At 37.9% G+C, this 24,076-nt stretch overlaps 1 protein-coding gene across 11 annotated transcripts in view, besides 1 other annotated feature; it reads right to left on the reverse strand.

The window, feature by feature from the left end:
- Positions 1 to 24,076, reverse strand: part of TTC28 (tetratricopeptide repeat domain 28) — a 701,827-nt gene that overhangs the window by 265,051 nt on the left and 412,700 nt on the right. The window lies entirely within an intron of this gene.
- Positions 4,722 to 5,346: an enhancer, noted in NCBI's record as "NANOG hESC enhancer chr22:28643774-28644398 (GRCh37/hg19 assembly coordinates)". NCBI's record gives its function as "activates a minimal SCP1, AML or CMV promoter by ChIP-STARR-seq in naive H9 embryonic stem cells {active_cell/tissue: H9 hESC(naive)}" and the evidence as "EXISTENCE:reporter gene assay evidence [ECO:0000049][PMID:30033119]".

Below are 24,076 nucleotides of genomic sequence, written 5' to 3' on the forward strand. Positions count from 1 at the left end.
CAGTGGCTCACACCTCTAATCCCAACACTTTGGGAGGTCAAAGCAAGTGGATTGCTTGAGCCCAAGAGTTTGAGACCAGCCTGGGCAACCTGGCAAAACCCCCTCTCTACAAAAAAAAAAAAAAAAAAAAAAAAAAAAAAAAAAAAAAACTAGCCAGCCACACTGTCACACACCTGTAGTCTCAACTACTTGGGAGGCAGGAGGATCGCTTGAGCCTAGGAGGCAGAGGTTGCAGTGAGCCATGATCATGCCACTGCACTCCAGCTTGGGTGACAGAGGGAGACCCCGTCTCAAAACAAAACAAAACAAAACAAAACAAAAAAACCTGGAGTTTTCATATTTGGCTCTTTTTTTTCCCTTTTTTTTTTTCGTTTTTCTGTGTGTTTTTATTTGTATTTTACAAAAGTGCTAATCTGTGATGGATTAGAAATTTAAGACTGGTATTTAACCACAGGGAGTTTGAAAAGTACTCCCCTTACACTGTGTGAGTTTTGATGCTATCATGAACTACAGACTACAGAGCTAGATAAAGTAAGATCTGGCCCAGCAGCGAAATTCTTAAGAGTTTGAGGCTTGAGTTTTAGAGAACGTGGATTAGATAGCTACTGTAAGCCTCACTGCTTTAGTGGCATGTGGGGTGGGATGGGGTCCAGGCATAATGAGAATGTCCTCTGACACAGAAAAAACAAGCAGGCAAAAGGTAAAAGGAGTGGAAGGTGGGGAGAGGACATAAGGATAGAGAAATAAATGTAGAATAGCTGTCCCCCAACTTCCTTGAACACAGACAGTTCATTTGATTCATTCAACAAATATGTACTGAACACTTACTATGTGGTAAGCACTGTTACAGGCACTAAAGATACAGAACGCACAACATGAAGAGAAATCGTTGTCCTTATGGAGCTTAGATTTTAGAGGTGAGAAAAAGACAGTAAGGAAAATAAATTATACATATTTATTTTGCAGAATCTAAGATGTCACTGATTATTAGATATATCTATTTCAGAAATGCTAAAATGTGAAAAATATATATGCCAAGAGTCAATAAACATGGCAATAAGTTAGACCAGTGGTAGGATCTGAGGGGAAAATAAAGTAGTAAGGAAGGAGGACAGGCAGAGTTGGGCGGGTTTGAGTAAAAGCCTGAGGGGAGTGACAGAATGAATTAAGTAGATCTCTAGGAGAAGAACAGAGGGAAAAGGCAAAGACTAGATGGAGAGCAGCCACTGCTTTAACACACAGAATGCTTTCATAAAGACAACATGGATTCCACTCAGAGAAACCTCCTTCAACCACTACATTTACAGCTACCCTTCGTCTCCTTTCAAATATGAGGAAAATAATTTACTGAGAAATAATGTATCTTGATTTTCTAATCAGAAGGTAGGCCAAGGATGATTCAACTATATAGAAGGAAAAAACTCAAGAAAACACACTGCTATATCTAAATCAGTGAACTGATAGGCAAGTGCTCTTGAATGACTTAACTGACTTCAGAAATTGTTCTCTTGCTATCAGGGTATAAAGAAGGCAAATAAGCTTCAAAAAAGAAACCTAAAGCTCTGTATTTTCTCTTCCTCGAGTACTAAACGGCTGCTCTGAATTCTCAGCACCTCTGCTTCCAGGGGCTTTTGATCCATTATTCAATGTTTTTAATTCATGACAAATTACATCTAAATTTTCTTGCTCATGTTCATTTATGGGACATTTTTATCTTGTCATCTTTTTTCATGTACCGTGCAAGCAAGAAGAAAATATCCAGCACAACATACCCTTCAGAAACAAGCTAATAGCACAATTTGGTGTCAATTTCACAGCTCAGTGAAGTGAAAGTGATCTAGCTGGCCATCCACATACACCTAGAAGGAGGTCTACTGCAAGTGCCCAGCCTTCATGTTGCTTGTGTCATGCCTACAAGCAAGATAAGTTCAAGTAGAAACATTATGTATTCAGAAAGAAAGCAGTTATCATTCAAATGCCCTTAGAGCCAGCTAGAACAGAATGTGGAGAGATAAAGCAGAGCCAGACTTTCATTTTTATATTGTGGAGAGTTGTTTTTCAGAAGTCATGCTTATATTCACAAATGGTAGGGAACAGTAGCTTCCCTTTGGGATTCTGATAATGTTTAGAAGCAGAAATTTTATTTAACGGATGCATGAAAATTGAATAACTATCTTAACAGTTTCTCATGCTTTATAATGGAGGCAAAATCATAGACTTTCAACTAATATAAAACCAAAATGCCGCAGGAAGAGTATGCAGCTCCTATTATTAACAATTACAATAATACCAATACCATTATTTACCAGCACATGGTAATGACTCTATTTCATCCTTAGGCCAATTCTGTAAAGTAAGGAGGTACACACATATTAATGATTTTCCCAGTTTTATAGATGAGGAGGCTGAATCTAAGGTCACACTGTTAATAAATGGTATACTCAGAACTTAAATCCTATTTTTTAGGGTGGACTCCAAAACATCACAAAAGAAATGAACATTTCACTATACTGCAAACTTATGAGCTATAATTACAATGTTCTTAGCCAAAGTACCCTATGCGTTTCACATGATGCACTAAAAAAATGCAATTCACAAATAAATGTTAAACATTGTAGTCTTTCTCATTGGCACTTTTGTCTTTAATGTTGGATCAAGCTAATGAGACTGCTTTCAATGACTCACCACACTACAGACAAATTAACATTTACCACTGCCTCTAGAACAAAGGTCAAGCTCTTCAACCTGGCCAGTAAGACCTTTCACAATCAGGCTCCTTTCCAATCTTAGCCCCCTATACGAACTTTTCACTGCAATCAAAGAGTGACAGTAAATATTCATGAATACGTCTTGAATTTTCCTGTTTCCTGACTTATGCTATTACTTCATCTGAAATGCTTCCTATGTTCTTCTATCAAACTCTTACCCATCCTTCAAAGGGAAGCTTAAGTATACATCTTCCATGAAGCTAAAAGTAAACAGTGAGCTCTGTTCTTATTTACTCTTAGCTTTAATGGTAGAAAAACTTCATCTTTAAGAGCCCAACATCGTCCCTTACACATACTACACATTTATATATTTGTTAAACGAAGGAATACAATGTTTAATAATAGAAAGAACATAGCATTTGTACACAAGAGACCTGGGTTTAAATCCTCCTTTTCCACTTACTGAGTAGATCATTTGGCCTCATCTCTAAAATAGAGAATAGAAATATCTACATCAGTGCTGTTTTGAGGTTTGAATGAGTTATGATATGCCAACACACCACCCCAAGGTCTGGCATAAAACAGGTATTCAAGAAATGTTTGCTGAATCTGTAAAATAAAGAGGCTAGACTAGATGGACTCTAAGGCTTTTTTCTGGTCTATAACACTCTGTGATTCTTTGAGAAGCTAATCTTAATACTTTTCATGTAATATCTTATATTGCTACTTGTTTCATGTGTCAGTATTTTATGCAACTATGCTAGGAATAGACCCTAGCATAGCTGCATGTGGTAATGATCACAGTGACCAAGTATTTGGCACCTTACATATATAAATTACCTCACTGAATCCTCATACCAACCTAATGACAAAGGAACTATCTTCATTTTCAAATGAGAAAATTGAGGATCAACGGGGCTAAGTAACAGACCGAAGACCACAATCTAGTAAGTGGTGTAGTTCAGCTTTCACCCCAGGTCTCTGACTTCAAAGCTCCTATTATTCTTAGTGTGCTATGGGGCCTCTTGAAAAAATGTCAAGAAGAAGGAAGACCCAGCATCATAAATTCGTAAAAATAAGGCAGAATAAGAGATGGGGATGTGCTACACTTCAATGAAAATGGCTTTTTAAAGGAAGATCTATACACCCCAACACCTGGTTAGGAAAAAAAAATGCATTTCTTGAAAGTAAACAGCATGCAAGCACACACTAAAGCAATGGGAAACTTCTACTAGAGCCCTACCTGAGGGCAAGATCTGTCTGACCCTGGGCAGTTACGCCAAATATAAAAGAAAAATGATTAAGATCAAGATACGTGGCATTCTTTCTAAGACACTACTTTTTTCATAAGTATAAGCAATAGATGATGCGGCTGCTGGGTGCCTGCTAGGACTGCCAGGGACAACACTCAATAAAGAGTGTCTCTAGTGACAACATTCAAGAAGGAAAACAGATTGTACAGTTTGTATATCTGGGCTCTTCAATCACAGAAAATTGAGGGAGTCACACTGCCAGCCAGCTCTTCAGCATGAACTTTCTCATGGTGTGGGTGTGTAAGTCACTGGGATAAGGAATATAATGAGAATCATATGCGACTGCCTGAGTGAAGCTGAGAGTTGCTTACAGTTCAACTCAGCTCAAGAATCACTATTGGCTGCCCCTACGCTGCTTGAGGCACTGGGCTGGGCACCCAAGGGTAGGTGAGAAAAGAGATGTAGTCGAGCCTTTAGGCTGCTATACCGTGAGACAGAGATGGAAACAGATTGCTTCACTACAGTGGGATCAGAGCTACCTATAACAGACGACATCTCACCATTCTCTGAGCACACAGAGGATACCAAGCCCAGACTGGGGGAAGAGAAATAGAGAAGCTTTGCTGGGGGAAAGGGAGGTGATGTCTGACCTAACTCTTATAGAATGAGAATACTTTACCTTGACAAAGAAGGCAGAGAAAGGCCTTGTCAACAAAACAAACAGAGGTCAAGAAAAGGCTAAAATGTATATGATATATGTGGAGAACTAAAAGCAGTTAAGCTTTCTAGAGATAACAGAAGGGGATGAGGCTGCAGAGAAGGGAGGATCCCATCTTGAATGGTTTTGACTACCTACCATGAGTCATTGAAGGGTTTAAGTAAGGTAGGCACATGGTCAGATTTGCATTTTTAATACAAAAAAAATCCCTTTTAGAAGCAGCTAGTAAACCCCTTCTTTGCAAATGAATTGTGAATTGTTAACAAACAATATCATAGTGTGATAAACATTCTAAAAGAACTCAGTCACACTGTTTGCTGCTTACTTGCAGCAGGGCCTGAAGCCCAGTCAGTATTAGTAAGTGGCCTATGATAAATGACCCATTCAACTCTGCAGTAAGGCTGGGGACAGAGAGGGGTCTGAAGTGTCCCTAATGGAAACAGCATGTGTTCTTGTATTTGTATTCACTGAACACACCACATGTGGTGCCCACACATGGCTGAAAACTCCAGGAAACCTTAGAGCCCCTATCTATCTCCTTGACAGTTCTCACTGTAGCCAGCCTGGAAACTAGGGGCCAGGCTGGGGGCTGAATTTACCTTATTCTCCACTACTTTCTCAGGCTCTTCTTCATCATGGAAAAATAAGAGTTAATTCCAAAGGTGCTCTTAAATTAAGGAGGATGTTAGAATTTAAAACAGAATACAATTCTTAACACTGACAACTAAAAAAATATTGTGAAGATAACCAATATGCACCCTACATCATACACTACCTAAATAAGTGGCTAATTTTTTTTTCCAGTTCAATAGTTAAGAAAGAGGAGGAAAAACTTGGAATATGATACCACTTTGCTGATTGCAGCTCTGTCCTTCATAATACACACCTACTGAAGCCACAATGGAGTTGCTTACTCAAGCAGATAGAAAATATCCTGCCCAAAATATCTTGTAAAACTATAGGGCTAATCTATGGGGCCAAGAATAAAGGTCTACACTCTTATTTCAAGTCATCGTTTTTTGCAAGTTTGTTTCCTACCTCTTTCCGTGAGGGCTTGGTAATTCACTGGCCTAATTTCTCCCCTTTTCCACATAATAAGAACAAACTAAAACTTAAAGCAGTATTGGGGCATTTAGCAGGGGGGGAAATACAGAACCATACAAACTGCTTCCTTGTATAGCAGCTTTATCATGTGAGTAAATACTTACTGCACATGTTAATTAATAACAGGTAGGACTCAGAGGAATAGCATTAATTCCTTAATCCTCCAAATCCCTCGATTTGTACTGTATTATATAATTCTTTATATACCCTAATAATAATGTATCCCCTGAAGAGAACCACAATAAGAAGACAAAGCGAGTACCATAACTGGGGGAGACAGAATAACCCAGAGGTCGAGAGCACAGCTTTTAGAGGAAGACAAGCCAGTGTTTCAAATCCCCACTCTGTCACTTGGGAGTTGTGACCTTGAGTCTTCTTATTTGTAAAATGAGGACAAGAACAGTATCTGCCCCACTGGGTAGCTCTGAGGATTAAATAAGTGAATGCACAGAAAGTCTTTATTTCAGTATCTGGCACGCAGGAAAAAAAATGCTCAATATATGTAAGCTCTAATTATCATCACTTCTCATAGGATAGCAAGGCAACTCACTATCCCTACAGATCTTAGGAATAGGTAGAACAAAATCTCCCACAGGTGATTTAAAATCTTTAAAATTAATTTTTAATTATACTAGTAGTACATGAGGACATTCTCCTTTGCCAGAGATAATTTAAGTGAATTCCTACTTGGAGTCAGAGGGCTGAATGAGATAATGTCTTGCAATCTCTAGTAGCTCTAGGAACTGATGAATTTCCCAAGGACAAGGGCAAAAGGTCAGCACCTCCACCAGGACCTGTAATGCAACTGGGATTCAGGCAAGCTTCACTTCCCCCTGAGGCAGGGTTGCATGCCCTCCACGTTGCCTTGAGCTCTCCCTGAGACGGGCAGGCCCTTAATGGCAAACATATTGTCCAGCAAAATGAGAGGATGGATGTGTTTCCAGCTCAGGAAACTTAATAAAAATTCTTTATCTATTTTATTGAAAACTCAGTTCTGAGACATTACCTCAGAGGTCGGGCCTGAAGACCAGCCATTCACTGTTTCATGTTGAGACCAATCCACTGTTCCTCAGAGCAGCTTCTTTGAGGATTTCACTCCTCTTATTGTGATTAAAATGAGGACTCTCAGCTACTTACATATAAAATTTCAATTAACACCCAACTAAGAAATTAATTCTACACATTAGAGAGGTGTCTAATGTAAGCAATTGGCAAATCTCAGTCCCAGGACAGTCATGGAGATACATAAACCATTTTCAATATTTCAAAAGGAAATATAGTTTCTCTAGGAAAAACTATGCAGTCTAACAAAAAGTCACATTTCTTTGCTGTTCCCAGAATTCTATCAGCACAGTACAGCCATTCTGATTACTCACGCTGACCACTTCAGTGTGAGGTTTTTCTTTTTAATGTCCTGGATGACATAAATTGAAAAGACTATTTAGGCATTCTTTTGTTTATTTATCCATTTGTTATATTTCAAAATTTAAAACTCTACATCTCTCATAAGATTTTTAGCCTTACTATTCTTAAAAGAGGGATTATTATAATTTAAATACTTTAATCTACATTCACAAATGTAATATAGTCCAGTCAGTCATCCTTTGGTATCCGTAAGAGGTATCTGTGGTATCTGTGGGAGGTTGTTTCCAGGACTTACCAGCAGATACCAAATTCCAGGATGCTCAAGACCCTTGTATAAAATGGCACAGTATTTCCATATAAGCTATGTATATCCTCCCTCCCTTCTAAGTCATCTCTAGATTACTTAAAATACCTAATTTAATGTAAACTCCATATAAATAGTTTTATGCTGTATTGTCTAGAGAATATTAGCAAAGGAAAAAAGTCTGTACATATTTAGTATAGACACAACCATTTATTTTTCCCTCAAATATCTGCAAACAGCAGTTGGTTGAATCCACAGATGCAGAACCCATGGATATAGTGGGCCAACTATATTCTAGTTATCTGACTGACAAACAAACCCTTAAGTGACTGGAAACAGTGGCTGAGATGCAAGCCTAGAGATGCAGACATCAGAGAATTCATCTCACAACCTGATGGCAAGGAAGGCCCCTTTCTGTGGTTGGCACTACAGAAGCTAAAGAAAGAAGTGGTAAAGTAGCCGAGAGTTATATAATTTTCAAGTCATCAGCTAGGTGGCTATGCCCTTAATAAGAAATTGAACTCTGGGTATCACAAAGCTACTTCTGACTCAATGATCACAGCTTTTAAGAAAGATGGCTATGACTGGTTTTGGTTATCATTTATTTATGCCTCTAATTAATTAAACATGGGAGTATGCACTCATTATCATTCAATATTGAGTTTGTTTCAAAGTCCAACTTTCAAAACATGGGAGACTGAAAGGAGACACAGATGGGAACGATAAAAGGCCTTTTGTAAGGAGCAGTTTGGAAGTTAGTGGTTTAGAGCAGGAGTCAGCCAAATCATACTCACCCCTATTTTTGTAAATAAAGTTTTATTAGAACACAGCTGTAGCTATTTATTTATTATCTATGGCTGTTTTCATACTACAATGGCAAAGTTGGTTAGTTGTGTCCACTGGGCCTGAAAAACCTAAAGTATTTATCATCTGGCCCTTTACAGAAGAAGTTTGCCAACACCAGGTTCAGAAGTACAGCTACAAAACTGGAAATGTGAGAACTGGAGTCTATACCTGGCTCTATCACTGTTAGGAGAAACAAAAATAGGATATGTATGAATTACTAACTGAAGTGTAAAGTGATTCACAAATATAGGGTGGCATATGATTAGTAATTAATCTGTGACCTTAAGCGATTTATTTAACCTTTTTGAGCCACGTACCACAATCTAATGTGTGGAATGTTAATATTTATCCTAAGCAATCATATGAAAACATGAGAAAATGTATGTTTTGAAACATTAAAAGGGCTATGAGATAGGGAAGTTTCATTTCACTCTCCATTAAAAAGGATCCTGAATCAGAAATTCTCTCTCTCTCTCAGTATTCCATATTCCATGTGATTAAAAACAAAATATACAGGACTACAAACATTTATCCTAGATCCCTTAATCAACTGATTATTAGCCATGTCAACTAGCTACAAGACATTCTCCATTCAGCTAATAATTTTTTTAGAAGAGGAAATTAAGTTGTATTATATATAGCGGGGACATTACTCAGGAATAGCCACAAAATTATTTGGTATCATAACTTGCGCATAGGAGATGGCTACATGGTAACATGCTATAACTGCCTTTCCAGAACAGCCCTGGGCCAATATGGAATAATTTCTATCTTATGCTCCAACTCATTTGATAGGGCAATTCCAACAGATTTTCAACAGCTCCTTTCCTATTATCCAGGAGTAGCCATAGCCAGTGGGAAATATCAGCTATAACTCCCTAACAAAAACAGAGCTTTAACATTTCACTGTGAGAAAAAATGAAGTCTCTCTAATCATCATTTTAACCTGACACACCTGTTATTCTCTATTCCAACTACTGAAATGTGCTCAGCAGAGAATGGCTGCAAGATCAAGAAAGGAGGGGAAGAGGTAGATGATGGTATATATTTCTACAAAACTGAAGCCAGATAGTTAAGCTGTAACTACCATGATTAAATTCATAAATGCAAATGGTGTTGTCTCATCTTCCAAGAAGCATTTATCTAAATGAAACAACTGAAACCAGAGAGAAGCCATTTACTTGCAATAAGTTAGACGCTAGGATCCTTTTTTCTTCTCATTTCAGACTGCCAAGTTCATCTCCATTAGTACTACCAGAGTCTTTTAAAGATGTGGATATTATGGGAAAGACTCGGGTTTGTGTTCAAAGGCCACAAAAGACCTGGCACCATCTTCTGGCAGAACTTGACTATGGGGACAGGTGTGATGGTAGTTAGCTCACCCAGCAAGCCCAGATCAATGTTCTGCCACTCCCCCAGTGAGAGTTATTAATTACATGGTTCAGCTGCTGGTTTTAGAAACATGTTGACTGATTCATTACCAAATGTAGCAGGCCCAAAAGAACAGCATAAAATGGGTAAAAAAACACCCAAATATACATCCTTCCTGTCAAATACTGAGATGGGATTTAAGTACTCCAGTATTCACTCAACTCAGTAGCTATAGTTTGTTTTTTTCCTGAAACACTCAAATCATTTTAAAGATACCTATAGAAAGGTTACACAGATATTTCAGAGAATGGACTGAAAACAAAATATTATATGAAAAGAAAATTATAAATACTCTTGAGGGGGAGTATATATTGACTACATATTTCCACTTCTGGGACATTTTCTAAATATAGCTTAAATAAAAAGCAATCATATAAAACAATATATGCAATCAAATTCTTTAAGGAATATATTTCAACAATGTAATGAAAACAATTGTTCAGACTTCCAAATCAATTGAAGTAAATTTATTTTTTGCACATATAAAACTCAGATAAATAGTTATAGTTCTGGTATTTAACTTTAATTATAGATGGAATCTTCAAGAGAGATTTTATTCACATTCCAATAAACAAAGACTGCAAATTGCCTAAATCACCACTAGGTGACAATGAAATGTTACTGCAATGCACTAGCTTATTTTCTAACATCATATTATACATTACACATTTATTTGTTTGCTCTCTCCTACATGCAGATTAAAGCTCCATGGGGTCAGGAACTTTGCTGTCTTAGTCACAACTGTAACCTCAGCACCAACCACACAGTACCTGGCACATAGTATCCAATATATACTTGTTAAATGAAAAATGATGACTTAACTGTGTATTGTGGTAGGAACAGGTAGAAGATTACTCCACATAGGGAGGAGCTAGGTGTGATATTTAAAATATTAAGGAGGTAACACCAAGTCCTAGTATCTGAGTAGAAGAGGGACTGCAGAAGAGGAGTCCAGGATCAAAGGGCAGGTTTCCTATCTGAGTGACCAGGTAAATGATGGTATCATTAAGCAATATAAAGAATTTATGGGGCCGGGCACAGTGGCTCACGCCTGTAATCCCAGCACTTTGGGAGGCCAAGGTGGGTGGATCACTTGAGATCAGGAGTTCGAGAGCAGCCTGGCCAACATGGTGAAACTTTGTCTCTACTAAAAATACAAAAATTAGCCAGGCATGGTGGTGCATGCTTGTAATCCCGCTACCTGGGAAGCTGAGACAGGAGGATTGCTTGAACCCAGGAGGCGGAGGTTGCAGTGAGCCGAGATAACACCACTGCACTCCAGCCTGAGTGACACAGTGAGACTCCATCTCAAAAAAAAAAAAAAGGAAAAAAAAGAATCTGAGTTTTGAAAGGAAAGTAATGAGTCCACAATTAGATAATCTTAGTTTGGGGTACCTAAATGCATGTGTCCAGCAGGCCACTGAATATATGAGGAAAGGAAAGGTTGAGGCTGGAAACATACTTTTGGTAATAATTATAATCATGAAAATATATGGGATCATACAAAGAGAGAATGTAGAGAAAACCACAATGGAAAAGAACATAAACTTGAAGAACATCAACATTCAGTGAGTGGATATATTTGGGAAAGCCCCAGGAATTAAAGTGAAGAAGCAATTACAAGGTAATAAAGAATCAGAAAAGTCAAGGAAGAAGAGCACTTCAAAAGAAGTGTTTATTCAGGAATACTTAATGGTGCAAAAAAAAAAAAGTCTGGTTAGATAAGAGGCTGAAAAGAATTCCTGGGATTTGATAAAATGAAAGTCAATTAGAAGCCATTGAAAAAAAAATGCTTCACTATGGTAGGGGAAGAAATGATTCAACAGTGACTAAAGCTTAGATGTGGACTCCCTCCCACTAAAACACATATTAATGTCAGATATAACAGCATGTTAAAATCCCTAGGTGCTAGAAACAAAGAGGGAACTCAATACCAAAGCGTCAAGTATGAGACCCAAAAGAGTAGTGGCTGAGGAACCACACATGAATGGGGAGGAAGAAACCTGGTTCACAGAAGGCAAAGAATCAGAACTGATATTCCCATATAAAGCAAGGACCCTGGAAAGGCCTGCCTCCTCCATGAAACCAGGACCAGGAAAACTATCCCTGGAAAACACAAGAAACCTTGTCATCTGCCTTCTGTATAGGAACACTGTATCCAGTGATAAATTAAAACCCCAGACCTATGTGATGCATAGATATGGAGTCTGAATTTATATACCACAAATTATACAGGATCTCAAACCACAAAATAAACATTAAGAACAAGTCCTCAACTGGTGAAACCCCTGAGTTTCTTCACCAGAAGCAAATGCAGAGCCATTTTGTAGGAACTCTTCCACAATCATGCCCAGTAAAAATGATCTTGCAATTTTTTTAAAAAAAGCAAAAGACCACACGAGAGAGCCATTCACCAAGAGGGAGTAGACACAATAAATTGAGAATTAGCACCCTGAAAGGGTGACATAATATAACTGTGGGTATCATTAGTGCAAACACTATTTTCAGCCCTTTGCCTTCTGGGCACCTAAGATTACACCTCTTGGCCCACTTGAGGGAGGAGCTAAATGAACAACATGTGTATGACTTGTATTAAAAAGACAGGCAGCCCGGGCGCAGTGGCTCACACCTGTAATCCCAGCACTTCGGGAGGCGAGGTGGGTGGATCACCTGAGGTCAGGAGTTCAAGACCAGCCTGACCAACGTGGTAAAACCCTGTCTCTGCTAAAAACACAAAATTAGCCAGGCGAGGTGGCACGTGCCTGTAATCCCAGCTACTCAGGAGGCTGAGGCAGGAGAATCACTTGAACCCGGGAGGCAGAGATTGCGGTGAGCTGAGATCGTGCCATTACATTCCAGCCTGGGCAATAAGAGCAAAACTCCGTCTCAAAAAAAAAAAAAAAGGTTCTAGTATGAGATGCTCTTTTCCTCTAGTATGGCAACTGGTGATGCTTAAGATGGTGGCTGACTTCCCAGTCTGGGTCCCTGAGTGACTATAGTGAGCAGAGGCTTTGATGACCTGCAAAAAAAACATATATTAATAGCATACATAAATATGCACCTTTGCTCTTCTAAATGACTATTTTTGGATTGTTTGTTATAGTAGGATAAGCTAGCCTGTCCTTTCTGATATTAGAATAATTTAAGATCACTTATAAAATGTTATATATGTTTAATATGACTACATATATTTTTTAAAAAAGGAAGAGTGACTAGTCAGGAAATGTCAGTCATAAGTGTAGGTTATGTTTTCAAAAACTGTGGCTCACATTAGTAGCAAAGAAATAGTACAGTGGCTAAAAGGGGACACAAGGTTGAGGCCTTTTAAAAAAAAAAAAATAGTAGAGGATGGGTGTGGCGGCTCATGCCTGTAATCCCAGCACTTTGGGAGGCTGAGGCAGGCAGATCACCTGAGGTCAGGAGTTCGAGACCAGCCTGGACAACAAAGCGAAACCCCGTCTCTACTAAAGATACAAAAATTAGCTGGGTGTGGTGGCAGGTACCTGTATCCCAGATACTCAGGAGGCTGAGACAGGAGAATTGCTTGAACCCAGGAGGCAGAGGTTGCAGTGAGCCAAGATCATGCCATTGCACTCCAGCCTGGGCAACAAGAACAAAACTCCGTCTCAAAAAAAAAAAAAAAAAATACGAGAGACTTGAACATATGTACAGGCTGATGGTAAAGAGAAAGAGATTAATGTAAGAGTTAAAGAAAGTAAAGATTCAATGCGTCTCTATCAAAATGTCAATGACATTATTCACAGAAATAGAAAAAAAACTCCTAAAATTTAGATGGAACCAGAAAAGAACCTGAATAGCCAAAGCAATTCAGGGTAAAAAGAACAAGGCTGGAGATATCACATTACCTGACTTCAAAATTTAGTATAAAGCTATAGTAATCAAAACAGCATGGTACTGGTAAAAAACAATGACAACAACAAAAAGCAAAAAAACAGACACATAAGACTGGGCATAATGGCCCATGCCGTAATCTCAGCATTTTGGGAAGCTGAAGTGGGAGCATTGCTTGAGGCCAGAAGTTCAAGACCAGGCTGGGCAACAGAGCAAGATGCCATCTCTACCAAAAATCAAAAAAATTAGCCATGCATAGTGGCACATGCCTACAGTCTCAGCTACTCAGGAGGCTGAGGTGGGAGAACTGTCTGAGCTCAGGAGTTTGAGGTTACAGTGAGCTATGATCACACCACTATACTCTAGCCTGGGTGATGGAGTGAGACCCTGTCTCTAAAAATAATATAAGAAATAAAATACAAGAAAATGACTTGTATTAAAAAGACAGGCAATAACGGATGCTGGTGAGGATGTAGAGAATGAGGAACCTTTGTACACTGTTGGTGGGAATGTAAGTAAGTACAGCTACTTTGGGGCAGAGTATGGAAATTCCTCAAAAAACCAAAAATAGAAATACCATATGATCCAGTAATCCCACTATTGGGTATATATCCAAAAGAAAGGAAATCGACATATCAAAGAGATACCTGTACTCCCATGTTTACTGCAGCACTATTCACAGTAGCCAAAATATGGAATCAGCCTAAGCATCCATCAATGGATAATGAATGAGTAAAGAAAACATGGCATATATACACAATGGAATATTATTCAGCCATAAAAAGAAGGGAATTCTGTAATTTGCAGCAACATGGATACAACTAGAAGACATTAAGTGAAATTAGCCAAGCACAGAGAGCTAGATATTGCATGTTCTCATTCATATGTGGGAGCTATTAATAAAAAAGCAAATCCCATGAAAATAGAGAGTAGGTTGGTGGTTATCTGATGCTGGGAAGGGGAGAGCGAAAAGGAGAAAAGGAGGATGAATGGGGGAAAAAAGAATATAAATATATTTATTACCACTGAACTAACTGTATACTTAAAAATGGTAAAGATGGTAAATTTTTACCATCTTTAGATGGTAATAGAACATATATATATATATATATATATATATATATATATATATATATCTTCTACTTCAATAAAAAATAAAAAAAGAAAAAACAGCTTTGTCACATAAAAAAGACAGAAAAGAAAGACTACATATAGTTTATTAACCTTACCTAAGCCCTTCAAGCAAATCTTACAAAAACCATCAGTTGATTTTTATCACCACTGTCCTCAGAAATCTTACTCCCTTTCTTTATACTAATGAAAAAACTATGGAGTAAAAGGCCCTCAAAATTTCCCCTAAAGAATAAAATATTTGCCCTCTGAACTTTGTCAGTCCTCCTGTCTTCTATCTTCATAGCAGAAACCAACTATAATTTTATAAACATACTATAGTTGGGATACTGAAGTGGTGAACATTACTTAGCAATGTCTGTGTATTGGTCCTTCAAAGAGCTGTGCCTGACTTTTGATGCGTAATTTGTTCTTCAAAATGTGAACAGGTTGAACGTGCACAGGTCACACAATGGAATTTCATGTTATATAAGGAATCCTGTTAGGATCTTCACAGATACATTTTCAGGATTTACATGTTCTTCAGTCTTGTTATTTTCCTTCACTTATCAGCAGAAGTCAAAGAAATATTAAAACTGACAGTAAAGATGTACTATTTTGGGCACACCAATAATTTTCTATCTTTATCTCAACTGTATTAGATTATTAGACCTACATATATTTTGGTTACTATTAGTACCTTTATATTTAAATTTCCCAATTATTTTTATAAATAAGGGGAAAAATGCAATAAAATATACATATAGCTGCACAAACTCACAACAAAGATGGAAATAAGAAAGACATATGAATGTCTAAAACCGGCAAGTTATCTGAACCCCAGAGCATATCAGAAATGCCTGCAAATAAACGGGACAGCAACCCCAATAAAAAATGAGTAACACTTTACAGAAGAGGGAATTCAAAGGCTAAGAAGCATATGAATAGATGTTCAAATTCATTAGTAATGAAATAAATGCAATTTAGAACAACAGTGAGGAAGTATATTATACTTTTTAGACCAACAAAAATTAGAATGCTGAAGAATGTCAAGAGCTGATGAAGAAGAGGGACATAGAAAACACATTTGTTGAGGTGTAGACTGATATATCCACTCTAAAGGAATCTGGCAGTGTTTGGTTAAAGAGTGTGTGTGTGTGTGTGTGTGTGTGTGTGTCCTACAACCTCACACTTTCAACCCTGAGTATATATTCCAAAGAAATTCTCACATAGGTATTTCAGGGAAAAAATACAAAGGTGACCTCTGAAGTACTGCTGTGGTAGTGGGAAGCTAGAGAAATCTGGTTGTCTATCAGTGGGGAAGTCATTGGCAAAACATGGTGGATGAGCATATATGATGAATATGCATGCAACAGTTCTTTTGAAGCAATTTGTTATTGCTGTAATTGTAATTTCTCCATTCGCTCATCCACCTTTTTCTCTGGACTATGAGCTCTTCAAGGGCAGAGATTGAACCTTGTTGATCTTTGTTTCCAAGTCATCATAGACTGTTCCTAGCCATAGTAGGTATTTATTAAATAATAAATGAATAAAAATGGATTTAATAAAGCTTTTAAGATGAAAAACCAAATAGTGTATACACAATATTAGAACACAATTTTCACTTCTAAGTAAAACAACAATTTGACAGTAATTGCAATAATGGTGGCAGTTTAACATTTTTCTTCAGTTTGGACTTATAGAGTACTAGAGATAACAGAGTAACTGATGTTAGCCCAGAAATGCTCGGGTATGTTACAAAACTATGAGAAATGGCTTTATTTCTAAAATATAAATGCTAGAAAAATCTAGTATGGACTATTGTAGATAACCTCAGATCAATGTATGTTTCTATGAAAAAATGTGTTGCATGTTCAATGGATGAAGCATTAAATATGAAAAGACAGCTCAATGGTTTGTATTTTTTTTAAAAAGAATTGGCTAGCCACATTTATGTATGATGTTTAGAATCCACTAAGAACAGCTATAATGGAAATGTCAGTTGAAACTACTTCACTATTTGCCTTTAAAAGTGTTGTGCTGCATTTTAAAGACACTTAGATATTTGGCATTAAAAACTATGGTGACATGGTCACATGATTTCTCTCAGAGGAAATTGCAAGGAGAGGAGGAAAAGGACAAAAGGAGACACTGGCAGTAGAGGCAGAAAGTCAGTTTTCAGCTCCAACCCTCTGCTCCTGCGATATTCCTCTAATCACAACAAGTCAACTGTCTATGCATTTATCAGGAAAATGTCTTCCCACAATTCTTATATTTTCAGTTGATGCTGTGCTCTCTTGGATGAACACTTCAGAGAAAAGACGGGAACAGATGTGAAAGATGTAATAATTTATTAGGAACTAGTGGAGCTTGTGCTTTGTTCAGGGCAATCACATGTCCTAAAGCATAATATCACAGGACATAAACATGCCTCTAAACAATTCACTTTTTATGAAGCAGAAGTGGAAGAAGTAGAAAACCAGTAGCAGTTGTAATTTTGTACTATAACATTTTGCATTAAAGGGGACACATTTTGAACTAACTCCAAGATACTACTATATCCATTCTATTTAGCTAATGGAATAGGAGTCTATTTTAACCATCTAGAAAAGAATGGGATTAAAAGTCTTTCTATTACATATGTTTATAAATGCATGATACTAGAGAGGAACCTTAACAGGCCAGACATCTGGGGAAAAAAACAATTCCATATTTTTGTGACAAGAACTACAGTTATTATTATAGTACTAAGTCTTCAACCTAGCCTTCTATTGTTCTTTTGAAAGACAAAAAATAGAACTCATTTTTAACATGATAGATTCAGAAAATAAAAGGTGAAATGATCAAAACCCCTAGCCAAATGCGCAAACTTTGCAAAACAAAACAAACAACAGCAATAAAACCTTTCGCTAGAAAAACAGCATCACCAAAATTAATCTGCTCCTTGTGTAACTTGTTTGGCATGATTTGGCACCCAGTAAATCTGTACCTAAAGAATGATAGGCCAGTGATTCCTGGACTCAGTACCAATTCAGCTCTAGACTAATGGGTCACTGTCAGGCCAAGCCAGAGGGCTGCCCTTGTCCTTTCATGTAACACTGGTTGTAATTCCAGAATAAAATAGCACAGTAAGATATGCACCATCACCTACTCCTACTTTCTCTTCTCACCCTCAGTCCTTAAAAGGAGACTGTCACCACATTTATTGTACAAGATCATAATAAGACTCCAATTTTCTCATACTTCCTCTAGGAAATCCTCCTACTCTGTTTGTGCCTCTGTCCCACTGCCTGGCCCACTCAGGATGAAGGAGGTAAAAACCTGTAACTTTCTTCCTAGCCTTAGGTGTATCACCCTAATTTAGGCTCTCTTGATTCCTCCCAAGGGCAATTCAGCTCATTCAACAAAGTTATAGAGCGCCTACTATGTACAAAACAGTATTCTAGGTTCTGGGTATATAACATAGAACTAAATACATAAAAAAGTCTGTCATCATAGAACATTCTAGTAGGAGAAAACAGACAATGAAAAAATTAAGTAAAGTAATGATATAGTTAGTACAGTAGAAGGCTGAAACCTGTGCAGGAATCGGGAAAATATCAGCAACAGGGTGATCCCTGGAGGCCTCAATGAGAAAGCCCAAGCATGGTGGAAGTCGCAGGAGAGGAGGTTAGAAAGAGAAAAGGAGCTCAAGCTCCGAAAGGTCTTGTAAGGCCACTCAAAGGATCTTGGCTTTTATTCTATGTGAGATGAGAAGCTACTCTGATAGTTTTGAGCAGCAAAGAGGCGTACTCTGTCTGACTTACTATTTTAACTGATCCTTCTGATAGATGTTAATAGGTGTTCCACATAAAAAGAATTCAAATAAATTTGAATAACCCTCTCTACCGAATGCCTCCCTTTATGATTAACAAAATGCCTTAGCACATTTGAAGCTCTCAGAGGTCCTGCAGAAAGAAGTCAATGCTTATTTATTTATTTTTGTGACTGGGTCTCGCTATATTGCTGAGGTTGGTCTTGAACTCCTGTGCTCAAGCAATCTTCCCACTTCAGCCTCTCAAGTAGCTAGGATATCATACATCTAGTCCCATAGAATCATCTCACTATTGGAACACCTTTTAACATCTCACAGAACATAGTTCAGATCTAAGGCCAGGAAACACTGGCCTAGATGACTTGAGATCTAATATTCTAAGACTCTGTATCAGAAACATTTAATAGAAGACTCCTAACTAAACTGACATTATACAGGGCCAACAAAGTTTGTTATGAAAAATAGATAACTTCAGGCTTTAAATGTCTATCCTTTCTCTTTCTCTCTCTCACTCTCCCTCTCTCTGTCTCTCCAGTGACATAATAACAAAGAGAAGGAGAAGGGAATCAGGAATACCTGGAAGCAAAGTTGGGCTAAAATTCCCTCAACAGACAGTGATACTAGGCAAAATAAAAGTTAAGGTCATCAGTTCAAGCAGAGACACCTTGGTGTCTCATTTGTCACATAAGAGTAGTTCAACAGCTTTAACTGTTACAACTAACACAACCCTACAGCCATTTATAACCGACACAATGTTTATTCATCTCAGCTACTGACTTTATAAATTAGGCTTTATGCAAGCAATAGTTCGGAGTTGCTAATCTAGAAAAATAGTTTTCCATATGGCGGTATGGCTTCATTAAAGTTACATCTTTTAAAGCAATATATTCATCATCCAATTTGTTTCTTTGATCTTCTCTTATTTACATCAAAGTATCTCAAGTAAGTTTCCTATGTCCATAATATTTCTTAGTCACTGAAGCTTAATATAAACTAACAGCCGATTTCTATAGCTTCCCCTGTGATACAATCAACTATGAGATTTCTGTCTTAAAATGAAAAAATATGAATAAAATAAAATCAGTGCTAATGAAGAGACTAAACTGACAGATCTAGGAGTAGGATTGCTATTTGTTGAGTTCCCCAAGGAGCTGTGACTGACTCTCTCATTTATTACATACATAAAGAGGGCAAATGTGTCATCCCACAAGGCCCAAGTAGAAATGGAGAACTAGGGCTTTCCTTATGGGGAGAGGATGGTTCCTACGATGAGAATGACTACCAGAAGCCAGACCTTTATGAGACTACCAGAGGTCCAATGTGGTTGACAGAGAAGCACACCAAGAACAGAGTGGAAGCGAAGCTACAGAGCCCAACAAACGGGTGAGAGGCATGGGTGGGTCATGAATTAAAACTAGCAAAGACCAACAAGAGGAGACCAAGCAAGCCAAGAAGGCAGTCTGGAAGAATTCTAGAATCAGACTTGAAAAGTCCAAAGTGGTTTTTAAGAAAGCCCTAAAATTGGCTTTCATGGTGAAGCTTTATGTGAGGTGTTGATTGAGATGAATAAGAGACAAATGACAGTTTTTGCCATCAAAAGATCAATAATAATAATGACTAGCATCTATTACATCTTTACTATATACTATACATGATGTAAATGTGTTACATTCATTTAATCTCTTTAACAGGCCTCTGAAATATGTTTTAATCCTCACTTTACAGAGGAGTAAACAAAGGTTTAGAGAGATTGAGCAACTCAACTTTTTAAAAACAGTAAAACTCTATTGCATTTCTGATTCACATATTATAATACATTACATACAACAGCCCAAAATAAACATCTCATGCCAGTGACACAAAAAGGAATAGCAGGCAAAAAAAATTCAGCAATAAGTACATTATTGCTTTCTTTAATTATAAACATTCAATCCTGAATGAAGACAATTTACTACATACTGATGCAGTTTTCTTTTCATTTCATATAATCATCCTACTCTCCTATACCTACACTATTCAGTACATTCCTGAGTTAATTCTTACATATGTGTGGAGCAAAATGATAATAATAGTATAGTATTGTGCATTTTTAATGGGGTGATATTGATAGATCAGTCCTTAGAGTCTGTATGGCAAGGGATCACATTGATGAAGCATTTAGGGAAGGCTGACCAGAGAGGATAAGCTTGATCTAAGTTTTGATCTCAGAACAAAAGGAGTAGGGGGTTAGTCAGGATAGAGGATAGGATCCACAAACAGAGTAGTAGTAAATGATAGTGGAAAGGCAATTAGGAGCTGGATCACAGAGGGCCATGGCTAAAAAGTTTAGACTGATTCGTGGGTTATGGTGACTTGTTGGTAGATTTGATACAGGAGGATGCTGTGTTTAGATCTGCACTTTGAAATTCTACTCTAAGATCTTAGGGAGAATGGGTGAAAAACGGGGAGTGGGGAGGCAGAAAGACCAATTCAGAGGTTATTGCTTTGGCCATGTGATATGGTTTGGCTGTGTCGCCAGCCAAATCTCATCTTGAATTATAGCTCCCATAATCCCCATATGTCATGGGAGAAAGCTGGTGAGAGGTAACTGAATCATGAGGGCAGATTTTTCCCATGCTGCTGTCATGAGAGTGAATACATCTCACAAGATCTGATGGTTTTATAAAGGGGAGTTCCCCTGCACATACTCTCTTGCCTGCTGCCATGTAAGACATGCCCTTGCTCCTCCTTCACCTTCCACTATGAGTGAGAGGCCTCCCCAGCCATGTGGAACTGTGAGTCCATTAAACCTCCTTTTCTTTATAAATTACCCATTCTCGAGTATTTCTTCATAGCAGTATGAAAATGGACTAATACACCATGCCTCTTCCATCATGTGGGAAGCAACACAGAACATAAATTAAAATGTTTAAATGTGTTCAGGAGAAGATGATGAGGGTGTCCATTACAGGCTCTGGGAAGGAGAAGAAAGGATATTTGGAAGAGAGAGATACATAGATATTTCATACATATGATATATAGATATAAATATATGCACATGTATGTGTGTGTACACGCACACACGCATGCACGTGTGGGCGCGTGTGCTTAAATGAGGTCTGAAGACTGCCTTGGTTGTGGAGAATGTTAAAAACTGCCAGGTTTCTGCATGGAGCATCAAGGGAGTCAGAATGACCACATGGGAGGGAAAAGAGATGAAGAACACGGGTTTAGACCTGCTGAATTGAAAGTACCTGTGATATACACTGAAGACTGCGATATGAGTGTAAAGTTTAAAAGCAAGATCCAGGTTGAAGATATATCCCTAGAGACTTCCGAATGATTCCTTATTTTCCCCCAGAGACAATAGTATCGAATATTAGGCTGAACTATATGAAACTACCAATATTCTATGTTTTCAACCTCTAAAAATGACAATTTCAATATGAGAATCTACTTTATACAAGAATTCCTTGAAAATAAGGCAATATGTAAATATATAAGTATTTCTAAAACAGAATCCACAACAGATACTTCACAAATATCCTGGAAGAATAAAGAATAAATGACATACATTTATGAATCCTGTGCTCATTGTTTTTATGTGTTTTGTAAAATTATTACAAAAATTTGCATATTTTACACAATTAATAGAACTATAAGACTGATGTACTGCTCGATTGTAATTTCAAGCAATTGTCTTTTGTGGGGTCACGCACACCATGTATCCATCCCACGATTTTCTGCCTATGTGAGGAACTAGTAATTACAGTTTTTCAAATGGTTTATCAGTGCTCATTAGTTCACTTACTCCCAACCAGTCTTTGTAGAGGGAGAAATGAGAAGAGGTAGGTACCAGACCACCAACGGAAATGTTTTCTCTAAGAAGGCACCTCAGTTTCCACATCTGCAAAGTAGAGGCAATATCACTTGTATCTGCGGCTGACTATAAGGATTAGAGGAGATATTGCACGTACCGCATGGGACACAAGAGAAGCTTAGTAAATGGGTGCTTTTGTTACTATGTCAGTGTTGCCAAATGACCAGCAGCAACTATTCAAAAATCATCTCCTATGTCAGGTTGCTGATGATTGACTATACAAGCTTGTTTATACGCTTAAAATTCTTGGGACAAGAATTCAGTGAAAGCAATGTTGACACAAAGGCCAGCCATAGTAAATAAGACATATATTCAGAAAAACTATGTAGTAACCATTGAATCATAAAGATCTTAGAACAGAAAATGGCCTTTAGAAGTTATCTCATCATTATTCCTTCAACAACACCCAGATAGAGGTGAGGAAGCCTAAATATTTCAGGGATGGCAATACTTATTACAATTATTTTAAAAGTTTCTGTTTTTTGCAGGGCATGTAATCCCAGCACTTTGGAAGGCCAAGGAGGGCAGATCACTTGAGTCCAGGAGTTCAAGACCAGACTGGCTAACATGGCAAAACCCTGTCTCTACTAAAAATACAAAAATTAGCCGGGTTTAGTGGCGTGCACCTGTAATCCCAGTTACTCAGGAAGTTGAGGTAGGAGAATCACATGAACCTGGGAGGCGGAGGTTGCAGTGAGCCAAGATCACACCACTACACTCCAGCTTGGGCAACAGAGCGAGACTCTGTCTCAAAAAAAAAAAAAAAGTTCCTGTTTTTGTGGGGCTTAAATTAAAAAATATGTATGAAAAAGTTAGCTAAGCTGATTCTAGTCACTCTTAGTCCCGTTTTCCCTTCTGACAACATGGACAGCAAGTTTATTACTTTCTCAAAAGGAATCACAGGAATACAAATTAAGGTATCTTCAACCTGCGTGTATCATTTTCAGTCATGCTCATTTATCAGATAATTAAGCCACCACACTGAGGTATAATGATTGCACTGATAACCCCAAATCTTCACTCCTTCCAATAGGGATGTGGGTTGACTCTGGGTTCAGCCTCGTTCCCTTGCCTAGACAAATAGATGTTAGCAAATGTGATGCTAGCATAAGATTGACAAGCACTTGCTCCTTGTTTTCATCATAATAGTGTGACCAAGGTGATCTGTTTCAGGATGACAGCCTGGTGGGCACTTGTCCCAGGGAGGTCTCAGATATGCAAGACAGGCTGAGCATAATCAGGGAAATTGCCAAGCCACTGACTTCAGCTGACTACAGACAAGTAAGTAAGCCCCATGGAACCCAGCTCAGATCAAAGATGTATAAGCAAAAATAAATGTGTATGGCTTTATGCTACCCATATTTTGTGGTTATTTTGTCACAGAGCATTATTATAGCAATATAAAACTGATACAATGACCATTAAGCATCTGAAAATTGTCTACTTACTAAACCTATAAAAACCCAGACTTCACCAGAATGACTACATGATGGCATCTCAATGACAACGTGAGTTATATGCACAAAAACCACTGTTCTCCAGGTGTTTATAAACAGTCTGATTTTAATACAGAGTTAAATATGGAAGCTTTCTAATTATACCACTTTTAAACTCAAAATTAGAAGGCATCAACAATATTGAATTGCTAGGATTATATTCACTTGAGAAAACTGAGTAACAGTTGATCTCTAGGTGCATGTGGGGGACTAGTA

The sequence above is a fragment of the Homo sapiens genome, chromosome 22 (genome assembly GCF_000001405.40).
Source record: "Homo sapiens chromosome 22, GRCh38.p14 Primary Assembly".
In the NCBI taxonomy this organism is placed as follows: domain Eukaryota; kingdom Metazoa; phylum Chordata; class Mammalia; order Primates; family Hominidae; genus Homo; species Homo sapiens.